General features: G+C 41.1%; 1 protein-coding gene across 13 annotated transcripts in view, besides 1 other annotated feature; it reads right to left on the reverse strand.

Moving 5' to 3' along the window:
* The window catches only part of DDX6 (DEAD-box helicase 6), a 43,982-nt gene that overhangs the window by 21,156 nt on the left and 5,130 nt on the right, over positions 1-17,696 (reverse strand). For 12 of the 13 annotated variants that reach the window (NM_001425146.1, NM_001425147.1, NM_001425153.1 and 9 more), the window contains exons 2-4: positions 17,134-17,600; positions 12,203-12,266; positions 10,714-10,818 (exon numbers count right to left, since the gene is read on the reverse strand). In NM_001425146.1, coding sequence (NP_001412075.1) covers positions 10,714-10,818; positions 12,203-12,266; positions 17,134-17,333 — 369 coding nt within the window. In that variant the 5' untranslated portion in view covers positions 17,334-17,600. The remainder of the gene's footprint in view (positions 1-10,713; positions 10,819-12,202; positions 12,267-17,133; positions 17,601-17,696) is intronic. The other variant, NM_001425154.1, reaches the window with a different exon arrangement.
* Positions 13,528-13,728: a silencer, noted in NCBI's record as "peak1491 fragment used in MPRA reporter construct". NCBI's record gives its function as "represses an SCP1 promoter by STARR-seq MPRAs in K562 erythroleukemia cells {active_cell/tissue: K562}" and the evidence as "EXISTENCE:reporter gene assay evidence [ECO:0000049][PMID:32103011]".

Below are 17,696 nucleotides of genomic sequence, written 5' to 3' on the forward strand. Positions count from 1 at the left end.
AGGTCAAGGGTGAAGTGAGCCATGATTGCACCACTGTACTCCAGCATGAAAGAGACCTCGTCTCATCTCAAAAAAAAAAAAAAAAAAAAAAGGCTAGATACAGTGGCTCACATCTGTAATCCCACCATTATGGGAGGCCAAAGCAAAACGATCACTTGAGCCCAGGAGTTTGAGAACAGCTTAGGCAAAATGGTGAGACCCCATCTCTACAAAAATTTTTAAAGGAAAAAACAAAAACAATTCCAAGGTAAGACTATATATATTTTGAGACTAGCACACCAATTTGACCACAGTGAAAAATTGTAGCTTGGACACCTCATCCCTGCAACAAAACACGAATAGGCTGGGAAAGTTTAACCTCAGGTCCTATTTGTCATTTATTTATATAATAAGTAAATCTCCAATGTCTGTCCCACAGCCTACTTCTCTGTTCTGTAATGTGCTCTCTATTGAAGGTTCAATTCTATTGCAGCTACCTCAAATACGGTCACATCACTAAAGGTGACCTCTCATTTTAATATTTGGCTTACTTTGTTATCTATTTTGCAAATAATAACAGTAGTTCATACTAACTTAAATTTCCCAGACAACAGCAAAGGATTCCCAAAAGTTACTTAAAAATAAATAGACATATACAAAGAGAGGTCAGGAGTTCAAGAACAGCCTGGGCAACATGGCAAGCACCCCCACTCTTTGCAAAAACAAAACAAACAACAACAACAAACTATAAAATACAATAGATCGTTGAAAAAGCTTGATCGTTGAAAAATTGTTAAAAGGAAATTATGTGGAATTTTTTTTTTTGAGACAGAGTCTCGCTCTGTCGCCCAGGCTGGAGTGCAGTGGCACAATCTCGGCTCACTGCAAGCTCTGGCTCCCGGGTTCACGCCATTCTCCTGCCTCAGCTTCCTGAGTAGCTGGGACTACAGGTGCCCGCCACCACACCCGGCTAATTTTTTTTTTGTATTTTTAGTAGAGACGGGGTTTCACCGTGTTAGCCAGGATGGTGTTGATCTCCTGACCTCGTGATCCACCCGCTTTGGCCTCCCAAAGTGCTGGGATTACAGGCGTGAGCCAGCGCGCCGGGCCATGATGTGGAATTTTAATTTTTTTTCTTTTTTTTTTGAGACAGAGTTTCGCTCTTGTCACTCAGGCTGGAGTACAATGGTGCGATCTTGGCTCACTGCAACTTTCGCCTCCTGGTTCAGGCGATTCTCCTGCCTCAGCCTCCCGAGCAGCTTAGATTAACGGCGTGTGCCACCACACCCAGCTAATTCTTGTATTTTTAGTAGAGACGGGGTGTTTCACCATGTTGGCCAGGCTGGTCTTGAACTCATGACCTCAGATGATCCACCGACCTCGGCCTCCCAAAGTGTTGGGATTACAGGCATGAGCCACTGTGTCTGGCCTGAATTTTTAATTTCTAAAACTAAGATACTAGGAACCAAATTCACAGTCACTGACATTTGTCCCTTCTATGCCTGGGCTAACGACAAAAACAAACAAACAAACAAAAAACAGCTTTAGCCCTTTAAAGCTGCTATTGGTAGAAATGACTAAATAAGCAGGATGACTTCCATCTCCCACGACAACACTCTTTCTACCTAGAGCTCCAATCACAGGATATAAATGGGTTCCATATGGTCAGAACAACACAGCTGCCAGAACAACTGTGAAAATATTGTTGTTGGCTGGGAACGATGGCTCATGTCTGTAATCCCAGCACTTTGGGAGGCTGAGGTAGGCAGATCACCTGAGGTCAGGAGTTCGAGACCAGCCTGGCCAACATGGTGAAACCCCATCTCTGTTAAAAATACAAAAATGGTCATGGTGCGCACCTGTAGTCCCAGCTACTTGGGAGCCTGAGGTAGGAGAACTGCTTGAGCCCAGGAGGAGGAGGTTGCAGTGGGCCAAGATTGCGCCACTGCACTCCAGCCTGGGCAATGGAGCAAGACTCAGTCTCACAAAAAAAAAAAAAAAGAGAGAGAAAAGAAAAGAAAATACTGTTGTCTTGTTCTTACAGCCAGCATTAAAGACTCTGCTTATTAAGGTAAAGCAAACAAAGAAGAAAACCTTGGCTTTAACCCTTTGGTCTTAAATTTCTTCCCTCATCACAGATAAGTGAACCATTATTTCCAGTTGTTCCAGAGGCTCCCATTACCCTGTCACCTCAGGTTTTCTCTTTTGTGGTTCTGTGGTGCCAGTAGTCTGTAGTTTTTAACAGGCTGCCTGCACACTACTCAGTTTTACAGTATTGAAAAAGTAAGATAGGTGGTCTCTGATGGTCTCATAACGACTTGCTGGGTCAGGTTCTTTAAAGTGTAAACCTTTTTTTCAATCAAGTGAGGCAGAACAGAATTAGACTAGAGGTATCCTAATCCCCCTTTTCAGTTCATCTTTTGACTGACTTGATTAAGGCCATTGACTTCTATTCCTTTGCCCTCTTTGACAGGGATTATACCCTACAAAAACTGTTCAAGGATAAAGCTTTAACAAAGTACATGTGATAGACTGTAAGTTAAGACACCCTGATATTTTGCCTTATATGATGGCCATTATGATTAACAGTCAGTGAATTCAGCACATCCACACTGCCTCTTACCAGTGTTTCTCAGGAAATAATGAAAAGCAAGAGAATTCAAGTCAAGTTCAAAAAGCTGTGAAATACAAGAGGAAATTATGAGGAACTGCCAGGGAGAAGGCAAAGGAGGAAGGAAACGAAAACTTTTTTTAAAACTTACTATGTGCTCAGCACAACTTTCAAGTTAGGTACTTTGTTTTACAACTGACAAAATGGATCCTAAACAGGATTAGTTTGCCCAAGGTCACAAAGCAAGAAATGCTTTAGCCAGTATTTGAACTTAGATCTGCACATAACATGTAGGCAAGAAGTTGGAGAAAATGGAACTCTCATACACTGCTAGTGGGAATGTACAGCTACGCTGGAAACCAGCCTTGCAGTTCCTCAAAAGGTTAAAAAGAGTTACCATATGAACTAGCAATTCTAGGTATACAGCGAAGAGAAATAAAAACATCTCCACACAAAAACCTGCACCTGAATTTTCATAGCAGCATTATCCTTAATAGCCAGTTCCTTCTATGTTTTTTTTTATAATAGTACAAACTTTATTCATAAATAAAACTTCATAAGGTTAAAGCAGGGTCAGTTCCTATTTTAAAAAGGGAACAGGGGAAGGCAGCCTGCTATTTTATTTAAAATCACAAGTTAGGTTTTTCAGACGGATGACAGTTGAGATCATTAAATCCCCTTCCTACTTCTCAGATTTTCACAAAATAGCACATTAAATCCTCAGTCCTTGGAAAACAACCCCAAATGTCTACCAACTGATGACTGGATAAATCAGAAGTAATAGAGCCATACAATAAAATATTATTCAGGAAAAAGGAATGGAATATTGATACAAGCTACAACACAGATGAACTCGGAAAACATTACGCTAAGTCAAAGAAGCCAGTCACAAAAAAAACACATACTATAGGATTCTATTTATATGACATGTCCAGACTAGGCAAAGCTAGAATGACAGAAAGTATACCAGTGGTTGTTTAGGGGTGTGGGAAAATGAGGTGTGACTGCTAAAAGGGTTTCTTTTGTGGGACTGATCAAAATGTTCTAAAATTTATTGTGGTAATGGTTGCAGAACTCTAAATGCACTAAAAAGCATTAAATTGTATACTTTTGATGTGTGATGTCATTTATATCTCAATAAAGCTATTACCCCCAAAAAACAAAACCCCAAAAAACCAACCCCACAAGCTTAGGGCTGACATCTGCCACCTTAGGTCTCCAAATTCACATTCACTGTAACGTTTAGATAATGACTGAAGAGTATTTGTTGTGTTTTGGTTACTCTAGTATCCCTTTACTAAGTAACACCCCAATTTCCTTCTAAGGAATTACATATGCCCTGGTCTCCCCTGTCCCAACAGACCAAGCCTCACCAATTTTCTAAGCCAAGTGGTAGACACATAGCCCACACTGGGCCAGCGGAATGTTGCCTCCTAAGAATCTAAATTGTTATAGTGCATCCATTACAGCTTCCTAAGTCCTTCAGAGCTATCTCAATTCTTAGTCATTTCCAAGTATGTTTCTCTAGCCTTCTCAATCTTGTGAATTCCCGTTATTTTTCCAATAAATTTCCTTTTGCTTAAGTTAGATCGAGTTGGTTTCTGATGCCTATAATTAAAGAATGGTTTATTTTCCAATCTCCTAGCATTGAGAGGCATTTTACAAAAGTGTGGTACCAACAAAAGCTCAACATCACCCAACTAGCTGCATTTACACTGACTGCTTCCTCTTATTTTCCAAACCTTAATTTCCAAGAGGGAAAAAAAACCTATGGTTAAAGGCCGGGCGCGGTGGCTCACGCCTGTAATCCCAACACTTTGGGAGGCCGAGGTGGGCAGACCATGAGGTCAGGAGATGGAGACCATCCTGGCTAACATGGTGAAACCCCGTCTCTACTAAAAAAATACAAAAAAATTAGCCGGGCGTGGTGGCAGGCGCCTGCAGTCCCAGCCACTTGGGAGGCTGAGGTAGGGGAATGGCGTGAACCCAGGAGGCAGAACTTGCAGTGAGCCAAGATTGCACCACTGCACTCCAGCCTGGGCGACAGAGCGAGACTCTGTCTCAAAACAAAATAAAACAAAACAAAAAAACAACCTATGGTTACTCCAGACGAGGTAGCAATGATTGTTACAAATGTCCCCTGCTTAACAGGAAAAAAAAAAAGGGAGATGGTAATTTCTAATTATATCTCTAATTTAGGCTGGGGATGGTGGCTCACACCTGTAATCTCAACCCTCTGCAAGGCTGAGGCAGGAGAACTGCTTGAGGCCAGGAGTTCAAGACCAGCCAGTGTGACAAACTGAGACTCTGTCTCCCCGACCCCACCCAAAAAGAAAACAAAACAAAACACACACCAAAAAAAAAAACAAAACAAACAAACAAAAAAAACCTTTGAGTTTTTAGGAAATATTTTTTTCAATCATGATAAACCGATTGTTAGCAGGAAGAATGACTTATTTACAGGATTCAGAATGCTATAATTCCTAACTATAAATAGTAAACTATTAATCCTCATTAGACCTTAGCTGACCTGGCACAAAATTTTGTTGCCAACAGTACGGAGCTTCCATGTTTCCCTCAATAATCAACTACTTCTCATTTCTTCACCTTCTTAGAGTTTCGAAAAAGTCTTCAAGAGGTGTTCCCAGGGTTTAGAAGCAACGAGAGAGGCCATCTTTCTCAATCATAACCCCAAAGTTAATATAAAGTTTCAAATAATGCTAAGCAGACAAAAACAGTATATTCTTAAGCCTTCCAAAGAAGTCTAGGTTCCTATAAAGCTATACCTTTAGAATGGCAATTATTCTACTGGCCACAGCATCCAGACCTAGAACTGGTCACAGATGGCTCTAGAAATACGTTGTGGGAGCAATCTGTAGTATATCTGGTTCCAGCCTGTCAATGTAAAAGCTCTTTTGAGAGCATATAATTTTAAGTGCCTAATTCTCTAACAGTCTTTTTTTTTTTTTTTTTTTTGTGAGACAGGGTCTTGCTCTGTTGCCCAGGATGGAGTGCAGTGACACAATCCTGGCTCACTTACAGCCTCAACCTCCTGAACATCTAAGACTACATGTCCCCCATGCCCAGCTAATTTTTGTACAGTCAGGGTTTTGTCATGTTGTTTAGGCTGGTTTTGAACCCCTGGACTCAAGCAATCCACCCACCTTGGCTTCCCAAAGTGCTGGGATTATAGGCATGAGCCACTGCACCCAGCCAATTCTCCAAATCTCACAGCCAAACTGCAACTAAATTCCATCTCAAACAAATATTCAAATGCAGAAGACTCACCCATCTAATCAAGGCAGTTTTAATATTTAGGGGAAAAAAAATGCCTGGATAAAACTGTAAAACCAAGCATGATAGAAGAGATACTTTTAGGAATGGGGGAGGGATGACAAAAATAAAACGAGAAGGTAGATAAGAATGGAAAGAATACTAGAAGACAGCCTGCCATGAGGTTATATTTTACCAGGGGGGTGATGGGTGCACCCAAATCTCAGAAATAGCAACTAAATAATTTACTTGGCCAGGCGTGGTGGCTCACGCCTGTAATTCCAGTACTTTGGGAGGCCGAGGAGAGTGGATCGCCTGAGGTCAGGAGTTCAAGACCAACCTGGACAACATGGTGAAACCCCGTCTCCACCAGAAATACAAAAATCAGCCGGGTATGCTGGTGCCCGCCTGTAATCCCAAGTCACTTGGGAGGCCGAGGCACGAGAATCGCTTGAACCCGGGAGGCAGAGGTTGCAGTAAGCCGAGAGCACACCATTGCACTCCAGCCTGAGCGACAGAGCAAAACCCTGTCTCAAAAACAAAAGAATTTACTCATGTAACCAAACACCACCTGTTCCCCCAAAAAACCTATGAAAATAAAAATTTAAAAAATTTTTTTACTAGGGGATCTGTAAATTTTGTTTCGGTTCTAAAATCCTAATATTTGTGACTTGTAACTCTGATTGATTCTAAGAAACACATAATCTTGTGCTTTCCATGGATCCCCAGGACAAAACAATAGGAAAGAAAAAGGCAATAAAAAAAAAGAAAAAGGCAATACAAGTGGTGACCTTGAGTATCTAAAACAATATACTCATACAATACCTTGCTATTTCAAAATACTTTGGTTGTACACTACATTTGATCTTAACAATAAAAATCCTGTGAGGGAGAGTACTTATTTCTACTTTACAGAAAAAGCTGGATGTCAGATTGGTTAAGTGGCTGAAGAGTTAATTGCCTATATGCTATAACAACACTCAGAGTACAAGTAACAAAGTTAATTTTAAATTTTAATACAAGGTAAGAAATAGGAGTCAGCAAATATCCACTAAGAATGAGGACTGGGCTAAGTGCAGTGGTTCACATCTATAATTCTAGCACATTGGGAAGCCAAGGCAGGAGGACTGCTTGAGCCCAGGAGGTCAAGACCAGCCTGGTCAACATGGCAAAACCTTGACTCTACCAAAAACAAAAACAAAAACAAAAACAAAAAACAACCAGGTGTGCTGGTACTACACTATCATCCTTACTCAGGAGGCTGGGGCAGGAGTATCACGTGAGCCCAGGAGTTTGAGGCTGCAGTGAGCTAAGATTCTGACACTGCATCCAGCCCAGGCAACTTAGCAAGACTCAGTCTCTTTAAAACAAATTTAAAACAATTACGTCTCCTAAATTAACTAATTTCCTTTTTTGAAACTATTATATAAAATAACCCATAACATTTTTGAGCATTTATCACGTACTAGGCATTGTACTAAGCATGTGAATTATCTCACTTAATCTTTACAACAACCCTATGGTATTATACTATTACCTCAATTATATAGGTCAGGAGTCTAAGACTTATAGATCCCAAATAACCAATTTATGAAGGAGTAGAGCTGGGATTTAATCTGGGCAGTTCCCTACACCAAGTTCACCTGCAGACATGAGTTACCTAAGTTTCATCAAAGCACGCTAAATAAGCACAGGCACTATGCTAAGTACTAGAGATAAAAGTTGAATGATGCAGTTCCTACTGTAAAGGAACTCTCATAAGACCTCAGTGGGCCAGGTGTGTTGGCTCACGTCTGTAATCCCAACACTTTGGGAGACTGAAGCAGGCAGATCACAAGGTCAGGAGATCGAGACCATCCTGGCTAACATGGTGAAACCCCATCTCTACTAAAACACAAAAAATTAGCCGGGTGCTGTGGTGCACGCCTGTAGTCCCCGCTATTCGGGAGGCTGAGGCAGGGGAATCGCGTGAACCCAGGAGTCGGAGATTGCAGTGAGTGGACATCGCGCCACTGCACTCCAGCCTGGCAACAGAGTAAGGCTCTGTCTCAAAAAAAAAAAAAAGAAAGAAAAAAAAAGACTTCAGTGTAGATAAAATGGCTTAACATGAACTACATCATAGTAGATTCCTAGGTATTTCTAATACCTACACCCAAATTACCCCTCTGATGATGCATATCCTTGTTTTGATACTTTATCCAGCCAAAAGCACACTCTCAACTCTGGGCAATCATTACCCAGCGTTCTCTGCTTGGAACACAGCTCAATTCTTCCAGGTTGTCCCATCTTCCTCTAATGACTACATACATACGCAATTCCAACTAGAAAGGTACTCATCATATTACAGTGAATTACCTGTACAATTAGCTGTCCTTTCCAGACTGTAAGACAGCAACCATATATCTGTCTTATTCATTATAGAATTCCCAAGGTCAAACACTTTCTAGGTCACTCCACACATGTTGGCTCAATGAAAAAGTACTCAGTGATGTCACAGGGTTTGTCCTTAGCACAGCCTGAATTCAATCATTTCATCAATTTAAGTATGTCTGTTGTCATCATTTATCAAACTGGCCTATGTATAATGCATGTTTATATGTACGTGTATATTTATGTGTATGTGTGTGTGGATATGTATATACATGCATTTATTTCCTTGCTCTTTCCACTGAAAGGACCAAGTAGCAAACAGGGTACCTAATGCCTGGGTCTTGGTCCCTAATACTACTCCACACTAAAAAGAATCAAGGATCCTTGGATGCCAATGCTGGGCCAGGATAGGTATAAGATAAGCCTGCATCATGATATGTCAAAAAGCAAGAAAGGGGCCGGGTACGATGGCTCACATCTATAATCCCAGCACTTTGGGAAGCCAAAGTGGGCGATCATTTGAGGTCAGGAGTTCAAGACCAGCCTGGTCTACAGGGTGAAACCCTGTCTCTACTAAAAATGCAAAAATTAGTTAGGTGTGGTAGCACACATCTGTAATTCCAGCTACTGGGGAGGCTGAGACACAAGAACTGCTTGAACCCAGGATGGGAAGGCTGCGGTGAGCCAAGATCATGCCACTGCACTCCAGCCTCTCTGACAGAGCTAGACTCCATCTCAAAAAAGAGAAAAAAAAAAAAAAAAACCAAGAAAGTACTCAAGAAAAATGAAGGGGACACATCATAAAAACATAGGAACCAGGCTGAAAGAGCTTACATTGGCCAGATCTAGGCTATTTTTAGAATAATAATAAAAAAAAAATTGAAAAAAATTGAAAAAAATGGTGAGTATAAGTCCATACTGATAACAGATATATATGGATGAGGGGAAGGGAAGTTTCTTCTTTATAGGGGCAAATACAGAGGGAGTGCTAGAATTGGAAAGTCATCATAACCCATCAGAGCAGAGATGAGATCAAGCAAGAATCACCAATGGGTGCTAAAACTAGGGGGGAAATTTTGTTATTTTTTTAAAAAAGTATCATGCCATGAATTGCAAATCACAAGATACGAAGTTAAATCCCACCTCTACCACTCATGAGCTACAAGTATCTTTGGCTAAGTCAAGTTTCTCAAGCTCAGCACTACTGACATTTTGGGCCACAAAATTCTTTGTTGTAAGGGGCTGTCCTTTAGCATCCCCCCATTGATGATAATAAAAAATGTTTCTACAAATTGCTAAATGTCCCCTGGGGGACAAAAATCCTCCCTGGTTGAAAACAATACGCTAAGAGAACTGCTCTGAACTTTTGTTTTCTCATCCACAAAACGGGGATAATACCTAGCCTGAACATCTATCTTACTGGGTTGGAGGAGGAGGGTGGCCATAGTATTATTGTATTTGTATGGTCTTAAAATGCACCCCAGATTGCTTATTCGTCTCAAGGGAGAGGGGAAAGAGCAGTAATTATAGAAGGGAAAAACCACACAACATCTTGACAGGGTAATCAAAATTAACATCACCAAAGAGGAATAAATGGACACTAGGCACACCTTCAAACATGATACCCTGAGAAGGCCATAATGTGATTTCTGCATTATTCGGGCTGAGAAAGCCTACCTTGAATCTAATTACTTGGGAATATCACAAAATCCCAAAACGGGAAATGTACTATTAATAAAAAAAGGGGGCCAGGCATGGTGGCTAATGTCTGTAATCCTAGCACTATGGCGAACCCAGGAGTTTTAATCAGCCTGGATAACATAGCAAAATCCTATCCCTACAAAAAAATAGAAAAATTAGCCGGGTGTTGTGGCACATGCCTGTAGTCCCAGCTACTAGGAGGCTGACGCAGGAGGATCACTTGAGCCCATGAGGTCAAGGCTGCAGTGAGCCGAGATCAGGCCACTGAACTCCAGCCTGGGTGACAGGGCAAGACCCAGTTGCCAAAAAAAAAAAAAAAAAAGAGGGATGGGGGAAGGGGTTGTAGGCTGTATTTTTAATATGCTGATGTCATAAAAAGAAGAACAAACACTAGGGAAACGCTAATGACTAAAAAAGACATAATTACAAATAATACCTGACCCTAGACTGGATCCTGTATAGAAGAAAAAAACTGCTATAAAGGACATGTTTGGGTCCATTAATAATTAGAATGACAGATGAGATAGAAGTATTTTATCAATGTTAACTGAAGGTAACTGTACTGTGGTTACGTAAGAGAATATCCTAAAGAAATACACACCGAAATATTTAGAGTTGTAAAAGCCATGATTTTCTAATTTACCCTTAAAAATTTCAGAAAAAGTGTGTATACGTGAGAGAGAAATGTTAGTTCACTGTATCACTTCTGCAGAGCAAAAAGAAAACTGTTTAATGGTTGACACATAACCTTACATATGTGATAAAAAGGGTTAACATACCTGAATAGGAGATGGCTTTTCCCAGCCCATTTCAAAAATTCCCATCAGTAACTCCCGTTTCAAACAGTAATCTTCAAACTCATTTCCTTTTGTGGAGGTCACATCCTAGTCAAACAAAAAGGAACAATAAAAGAATAAATAACACTGTTGGTAAATTTGGTGTCCTTTGGTAAATTTATCTGTGTTTAAGAAAATTTATCTGGGCCAGGCATGGTGGCTCATGCCTGTAATCCCAGCACTTTGGGAGGCCAAGGCGGGCAGATCACCTGAGGTCAGAAGTTCAAGACCAGCCTAGCCAACATGGTGAAACTCCAACTCCACGAAAAATACAAAAAATTAGCCAGGGTGGTGGTGCACGCCTGTAGTCGCAGCTACTTGGGAGGCTGAGGCAGGAGAATCGCTTGAACCCAGGAGACGGAGGTTGCAGTGAGGTGAGATCGCACTCACTGCACAGCCTGGGGGGACAGAGCCAGACTCTATCTCAAAAAAAAAAAAAAAAAAAAAAAAAAAGGAAAGAAAACTTCTCTGACTTTAGTACTTTACCTGCCCAATCTTAAATATAAATATATGCAGATTACTTGTTTTAATCTGTATTTCAACTTTTCCTGAAGAAAAACCACTGTCCCTGCTTTGACACACAAGCTTTTTAAAAAACTATGTTTTGGGGAAAGAGCACTTGGTCATAGCCTTCTTTTTTTCTTCGAGAGATGGAGTCTCGCTCTGTCACCCAGGCTGCAGTGCAGTGGCGTGATCTCGGCTCACTGCAACCTCTGCCTCCCAAGTTCAAGTAATTCTCCTGTCTCAGCCTCCTGAGCAGCTGGATTACAGGCGCACGCCACCACACCCGACTAATTTTTGTATTTTTAGTAGAGACAGGGTTTCAACATGTTGGCCAGGCTGGTCTTGAACTCCTGACCTCAGGTGATCCGCCTGCCTCGGCCTCCCAAAGTGCTGGGAATACAGGCAAGAGCCACTGTGCCCGGCCCTTGGTCACAGTCTCCTAAGGACTGGTGGAATAGTGTTATTTTTTTACACAAATATCATGCCATGAATTGCAAATCACAAGATATGAAGTTAAATCCCACCTCTACCACTCATGAGCTACAAATATCTTTGGCTAAGTCAAATTTCTCAAGCTCAGCACTACTGACACTTTGGGCCACAAAATTCTTTGTTGTAAAGGGCTGTCCTTTAGCTTCCCCCCTATTGATGATAAGCAAAAATGTTTCTACAAATTGCTAAATGCCCCCGGGAGACAAAAATTCTCCCGGTTGAAAACAATAGGCTAAGAGAACTAACTGCTGAGCATTTGTTTTCTCATCCACAAAATGGGAATATATAGCCTGAATATCTATCTTACTGGGTTGGAGGAGGAGGGTGGCAGTGGTGTTATGGTCCTGAAACCAATTCCCTCCAGATACCGAGGGACAGCTATACCTCACTTCTAGTTCCCCACCATTATTCTACTTGTATTTTACAACCAACTTACCGAAGTTTTGATTCTTAGATCCTTTGGAGGGAGTTTTAAAGTCTTTTTCCAGTCATCACCAGGTCTAGAGAGAATACAGTAAACTTGAAGTATCAAAATTCATAGCATCCTAACAAAGATGATTCATCTCAATTATAATTAAGTGTTAAAAAAGCACAGTAAGTTTAATATATTCCATTTAATATATCTAACAAGATAATTAAACAACTTTAGAAAAAGTGTTCTTATAGAGAATCTCAGGAGGATAAAAAAATCAAGAACAGAAGGGATTAAGGCATCCATCCTCTTAAGCAATATTGTATACAGTGTAACTGTTGTCAAAAGGTGTTTTGTTTGACCTACACAGCATGTGTTTTAATTTAAATGAGTTTAAATTAGTTCTCAACATTTAAAAACTGTAAGATTTTATATATCTTATATAACTCCTGGGCTCAAGAAATCCACCTGCCTCGGCCTCCCAAAGTGATAGGATTATAGGTGTGAGCCACCATGGCCGGCTATTCTCATTTTTAAAATAGGTTAACAGGCCAGGCGTGGTGGCTCCCATCAGTAATCCCAGCACTTTGGGAGGCCAAGGTGGGCGGATCACTTGAGGTCAGGAGTTCGAGACCAGCCTGGCCAATATGGTGAAACCCCACCTCTACTGAAAATACAAAAATTAGCCAGGCATGGTGGGACACAACTGTAGTCCCAGCTACTCGGGAGGCTGAGGCAGGGGAATCACTTGAACCTGGGAGGCGGACACTGCAGTGAGCCAAGCTCACGACACTGCACTCCAGCCTGAGTGACAGAGGGAGACTCTGTCTCAAAAATAAATAAGGTGGGCGCACACCTGTAATCCCAACACTTTGGGAGGCCAAGGCAAGCGGATCACCTGAGGTCAGGAGTTCGAGAGTAGCCTGGCCAATACGGTGAAACCCACTCTCTACCAAAAATACAAAAATTAGCCAGCCATGGTGGCATGTGCCTGTAATCCCAGCTACTCAAGAGGCTGAGGCAGGAGAATTGCTTGAACCCGGGAGCCAAGATCCTGCGCCAGAGCAAGGCTCCGTTCCAAATAAATAAATAAAACAAAATAGGTTAACAGTTACATCAAACAATTGATATAATGCACTCAGCACAGTGCCTGGCAAAATAATAGCACAGTATTAGCCAATGAGCATCTCTTAATCTTTCTTTTTTATTGGAAATGCTAGAAATCATGAAAGAGAATAAAAACAAGGAGAATATAAATAAACTCTCTTTTTGGCCAGGTAAAAACCTCAAGTAATAAATACTCAAAGCATCTTTAAAAAAAAAAAAAAGATCAGGGAACATCTGCAGACAAAGTATTTAACTGTGACATCTTCGAAAAAGTTTTCACTGCAGCTGTTCTTACATAACCAGAGTCCCCAAAACATCTCAAATGCTCCATTCACAGACAAAAAGACCACTTATTTTACTTAAAACTAGGTCCTACATAATGCATACTCTAACATTGGTAACTTTTTGCTACCAATTCCAAGACTACTACTGTACTAAAGCCTTTTTTTTTTTTTTCTGAGATGGAGTCTTGCTATGTCACCCAGGCTAGAGTGCAGTGGCATGATCTCGGCTTACTGCAACCTCCACCTCCCGGGGTTCAAGCAATTCTCCTGCCTCAGCCTCCAGAGCAGCTGGGATTACAGGAGCTTGCCACTACACCTGGCTAGTTTTTGTATTTTTAGTAGAGACGGGGATTCAGCTGGTCTCAAACTCCTGACCTCGTGATCCTCCTGCCTTGGCCTCCCAAAGTGCTGGGATTACAGGCGTGAGCCACCTCACCCGGCCTACTAAAGCCTTTCATCTAAGCCTGTATCATCGAAGTTTCTGATGTCAGTTTGACATACCGTTGAATTCAACAAAATAGTGAATAATAATGCGTAAGATACAATGCAAAACCTGACCACAAGAAATTTATAATCTTATGAGATGAAAAAACTATTTAAAATGAGAAAGTAAGTGACGGAGGTTAAGTATTAGAAGTGTTCTGAGACACTTGATGGGATCTAGAGGACTTCATGGAAGAGAGGGCAGAGAAAATGAGATTTGAAGAACCGCAGAACTGAAAAGAAACCATTAATCGTAGGAAAACCAGAAAAGAAAAATCAAAATCCACTGTTGTCCCCAAATCAGAATTTATTTTTTATTTCTTTGAGATGGGGTCTTACCCTGTCACCCAGGCTTGAGTGCAGTGGTGCGATCATAGCTCACTGCAGCCTTTATTATTTGTAGAGACAGGGTCTTGCTATGTTGCCCAGGTTAGTCTCAAACTCCTGGCCTCAAGTGATCTTCCCACCTCAGCCTCCCAAAGTGATGGGATGAACGGCATGAGCCATCATATCCAGCCCCAGAATTTTTTAAATAGAAAATATTCTCATAGGCCAGGTGCAGTGGCTCACGCCTGTAATCCCAGCACTCTGGGAGGCCGAGGCAGGCAGATCACCTGAGGTCAGGAATTCAAGCCTAGCCTGCAAACATGATGAAATCTCATCTCTACTAAAAATACAAAAATTAGCCAGACGTGATGGTGGACACCTGTAATCCCAGCTACTTGGGAGGCAGAGGCAGGAGAATGGCTTGAACTGAACCCAGGAGGTGCAGGTTGCAGTGAGTCGAGATCACACCATTGCACTCTAGCCTGGGCAACAGAGTGAGTGAGAGTCCATCTCAAAAAAAAAAAAAATTAAAAATAGGCTGGGCGCAGTGGCTCACATGTGTAATCCCAGCACTGTGAGAGGTCGAGGTGGGCAGATCACTTGAGCTCAGGAGTTCCAGACCAGCCTGGGCAACATGACAAAACGCCGTCGCTACTGGTGCATGCCAGTAGTCCCCACTATTTGTAGGGCTGAGGCAGGAGGATCACTTGAGCCTGGGAAGTTGAGGCTGCAGTGAGCCATGATCGTGCCACCATACTCCAGCCTAGGCAACAAAGTGAGACCCTGTCTCAAAAAAAAAAAAAAAAGTTATAAAAAAAATTAAAAATAGTCTAAATTTTGCTAACCTACTTACATTCTGCCAAGACAAACTACAACTGAAGTAGTATTCATTTCTATACCAATTAAAGCATTCACCTTAAAAATAACAGAATATACACTAATACCAATTCTCCCAATGACCTAACCAATTCTGCTGAAAATTAGTTCTTAGAGGTCCTAGTGAACCACATACGGTAACTATATGACAGTCTGGTAGCTTGTATAAGCTATTTTTCTGTAGGAAGTGAAAAGATCTAGGTTGTAATAAAACATATACCTCAGTTCAGTAACCCAGTGTCAACATCTTATAAAGATTCCCAGGGTTAAATTATTTTATATGGCAAGTTTTTTTTTTTTTTTGAGATGGAGTATTTCTCTGTTGCCCAGGCTGGAGTGCAGTGACACGATCTTGGCTCTCTGCAACCTCCACCTCTCGGGTTCAAGTGATTCTCCCGCCTCAGCCTCCTGAGTAGCTGGGATTACAGGCGCATGCCATCACACCCAGCTGATTTTTGTATTTTTAGTAAAGACAGGGTTTCACCATGTTGGTCAGGCTGGCCTCAAACTTTTGACCTCGTGATCTACCTGCCTCAGCCTCCCAAAGTGCTGGGATTAAAGGCGTGAGCTACCGCACCTGGCCTTTTTTTTTTTTGAGATGGAGTTTCGCTCTTGTTGCCCAAGCTGGAGTGCAATGGTGCAATCTCGGCTCACTGCAACTCCGCCTCCCGGGTTTAAGTGATTCTCCTGCCTCAGCCTCCCAAGTAGCATTATGGGCATGTGCCACCACGCCCAGCTAATTTTGTACTTTTAGTAGAGACGGGGTTTATTTTTAGTAGAGACAAGGTTTCTCCATGTTTGTCAGGCTGGTCTCGAACTCCCGACCTCAGGTGATCCGCCCACCTTGGCCTCCCAATGTGCTTGGACTACAGGCGTGTGCCACTGCACCCGGACCTATATGGCAAGTTCTTAACAAAAGCCAAACATCAACTGGAGTCAAGAATCTTAAATGTTAATTTCCTATAACTGAATCTTTAAAGTGATGGTTACCATTCAAATATTGTAATTTAAACTATGCACTTAAAAGTAACAAATAGCCTACATACTTTCAGCTTTAAAAGAAAAAATATCCTCTAGTAAGAGGAGGCTCTTCAATTTTAAGGTTAACAAAAGGTTTCTGAGACTGTTCAGAACTGTGTTCTGTGAGTTCAAAATTCTTAGTTCCCTTTTTATATGTAAAAGGAGGAAAAAAATTAAAAATTTTTTTTTTGGGTAGAGACAGAGTCTCATTATGTTGCCTAGGCTGGTCTCAAACTCCTGGACTCAAGTGATCCTCCCACATTGGCCTCCCCAAAGTACAGGGATTACAGGCATGAGTCACCTCAACCAGCCAACTTTTTTTTTTTTTTAAAGTAAAAAAGCTAAGTTCCATAAGCTAAAAAAAGTTACGAGAAAATTTTCTGAGTGAATAATGCTTGGAGTTCAGAAGGCTGGGCAAGTCTTTAAAGACTCTAAAGACTCAGACTGAGTCTTTAAATTTAATACATAAAGTTGGCTTTATCTGCTGTTTAACTAGGGTAAGGTGCAGTCGTAAAAAAACTATACTGACAAAAACGAGATGACTAATAATTTTATTCATTTACAACAAACTAAGCTAATAACTTTTACACTAATTATGAAAGCCAGAAATGTTTCCAAAAACCATTTATACAAAATTTGTGTGTATCATCTGACCTCAGGATGACTACTTGCTGAACAAATTATGGCAGAAATATATTATTCTATTGCAAATACCTACTGGCCATAAAACAAAGTCATCTGTCCTCTATTTGGAATCAAAATGGTTAAATTAAGGCATAAGTATTAATAGTCAACACCAAAGTAACACAAATCTTGGTTCCCCACAAGTGTTTATTAATAATTTACTCTAACACTTACTTAATAGTGGTGGTCATACTCTGTGCTTGCTGCTGAGTGCCATTATTGATTGTGTTGGTGTTTTTCAGCTGGTTCATCTGTTGCTGTGTCTGTGTGCCCCCTCCTCCAGGGCCACCAGTGGGTTTCACAGGGCCTCTCAGCTGACCATTTTGACTGGACAGACCCATTATAACAGGGTTCTCTGTTCTGGCCGTGCTCATGCTGTTTTAATTGCAAAGGTCTTTCAAACTTCAAAACTTTTGAAAGTCAGTAGAGAAACTGTAATAACAGTTTATTAGGCTCTCCAAAATGAAGAGATAAATATAAGTCTTGCTCAATAAATGAGTCCTTTATTGCAATGCAGGCAAGCACCTGTAAGTCTCTGAACGGTAAGCAGCAGTAACTTGCTCTCTTGCACGGAATCAACTTTTTATTTTTAAAAAGCCCTCTAACAAGCTTGAGTTATATCTGAATTCACTCACGTCAATCTGAAACAAACAAACAAAATTAAATTAGCAAACACAACAGAAAAACTTTGTTTCCCTTTTAAAAGAACCCCTTTAAAAGAATTCTCATCTTTTATA

The sequence above is a fragment of the Homo sapiens genome, chromosome 11 (genome assembly GCF_000001405.40).
Source record: "Homo sapiens chromosome 11, GRCh38.p14 Primary Assembly".
In the NCBI taxonomy this organism is placed as follows: domain Eukaryota; kingdom Metazoa; phylum Chordata; class Mammalia; order Primates; family Hominidae; genus Homo; species Homo sapiens.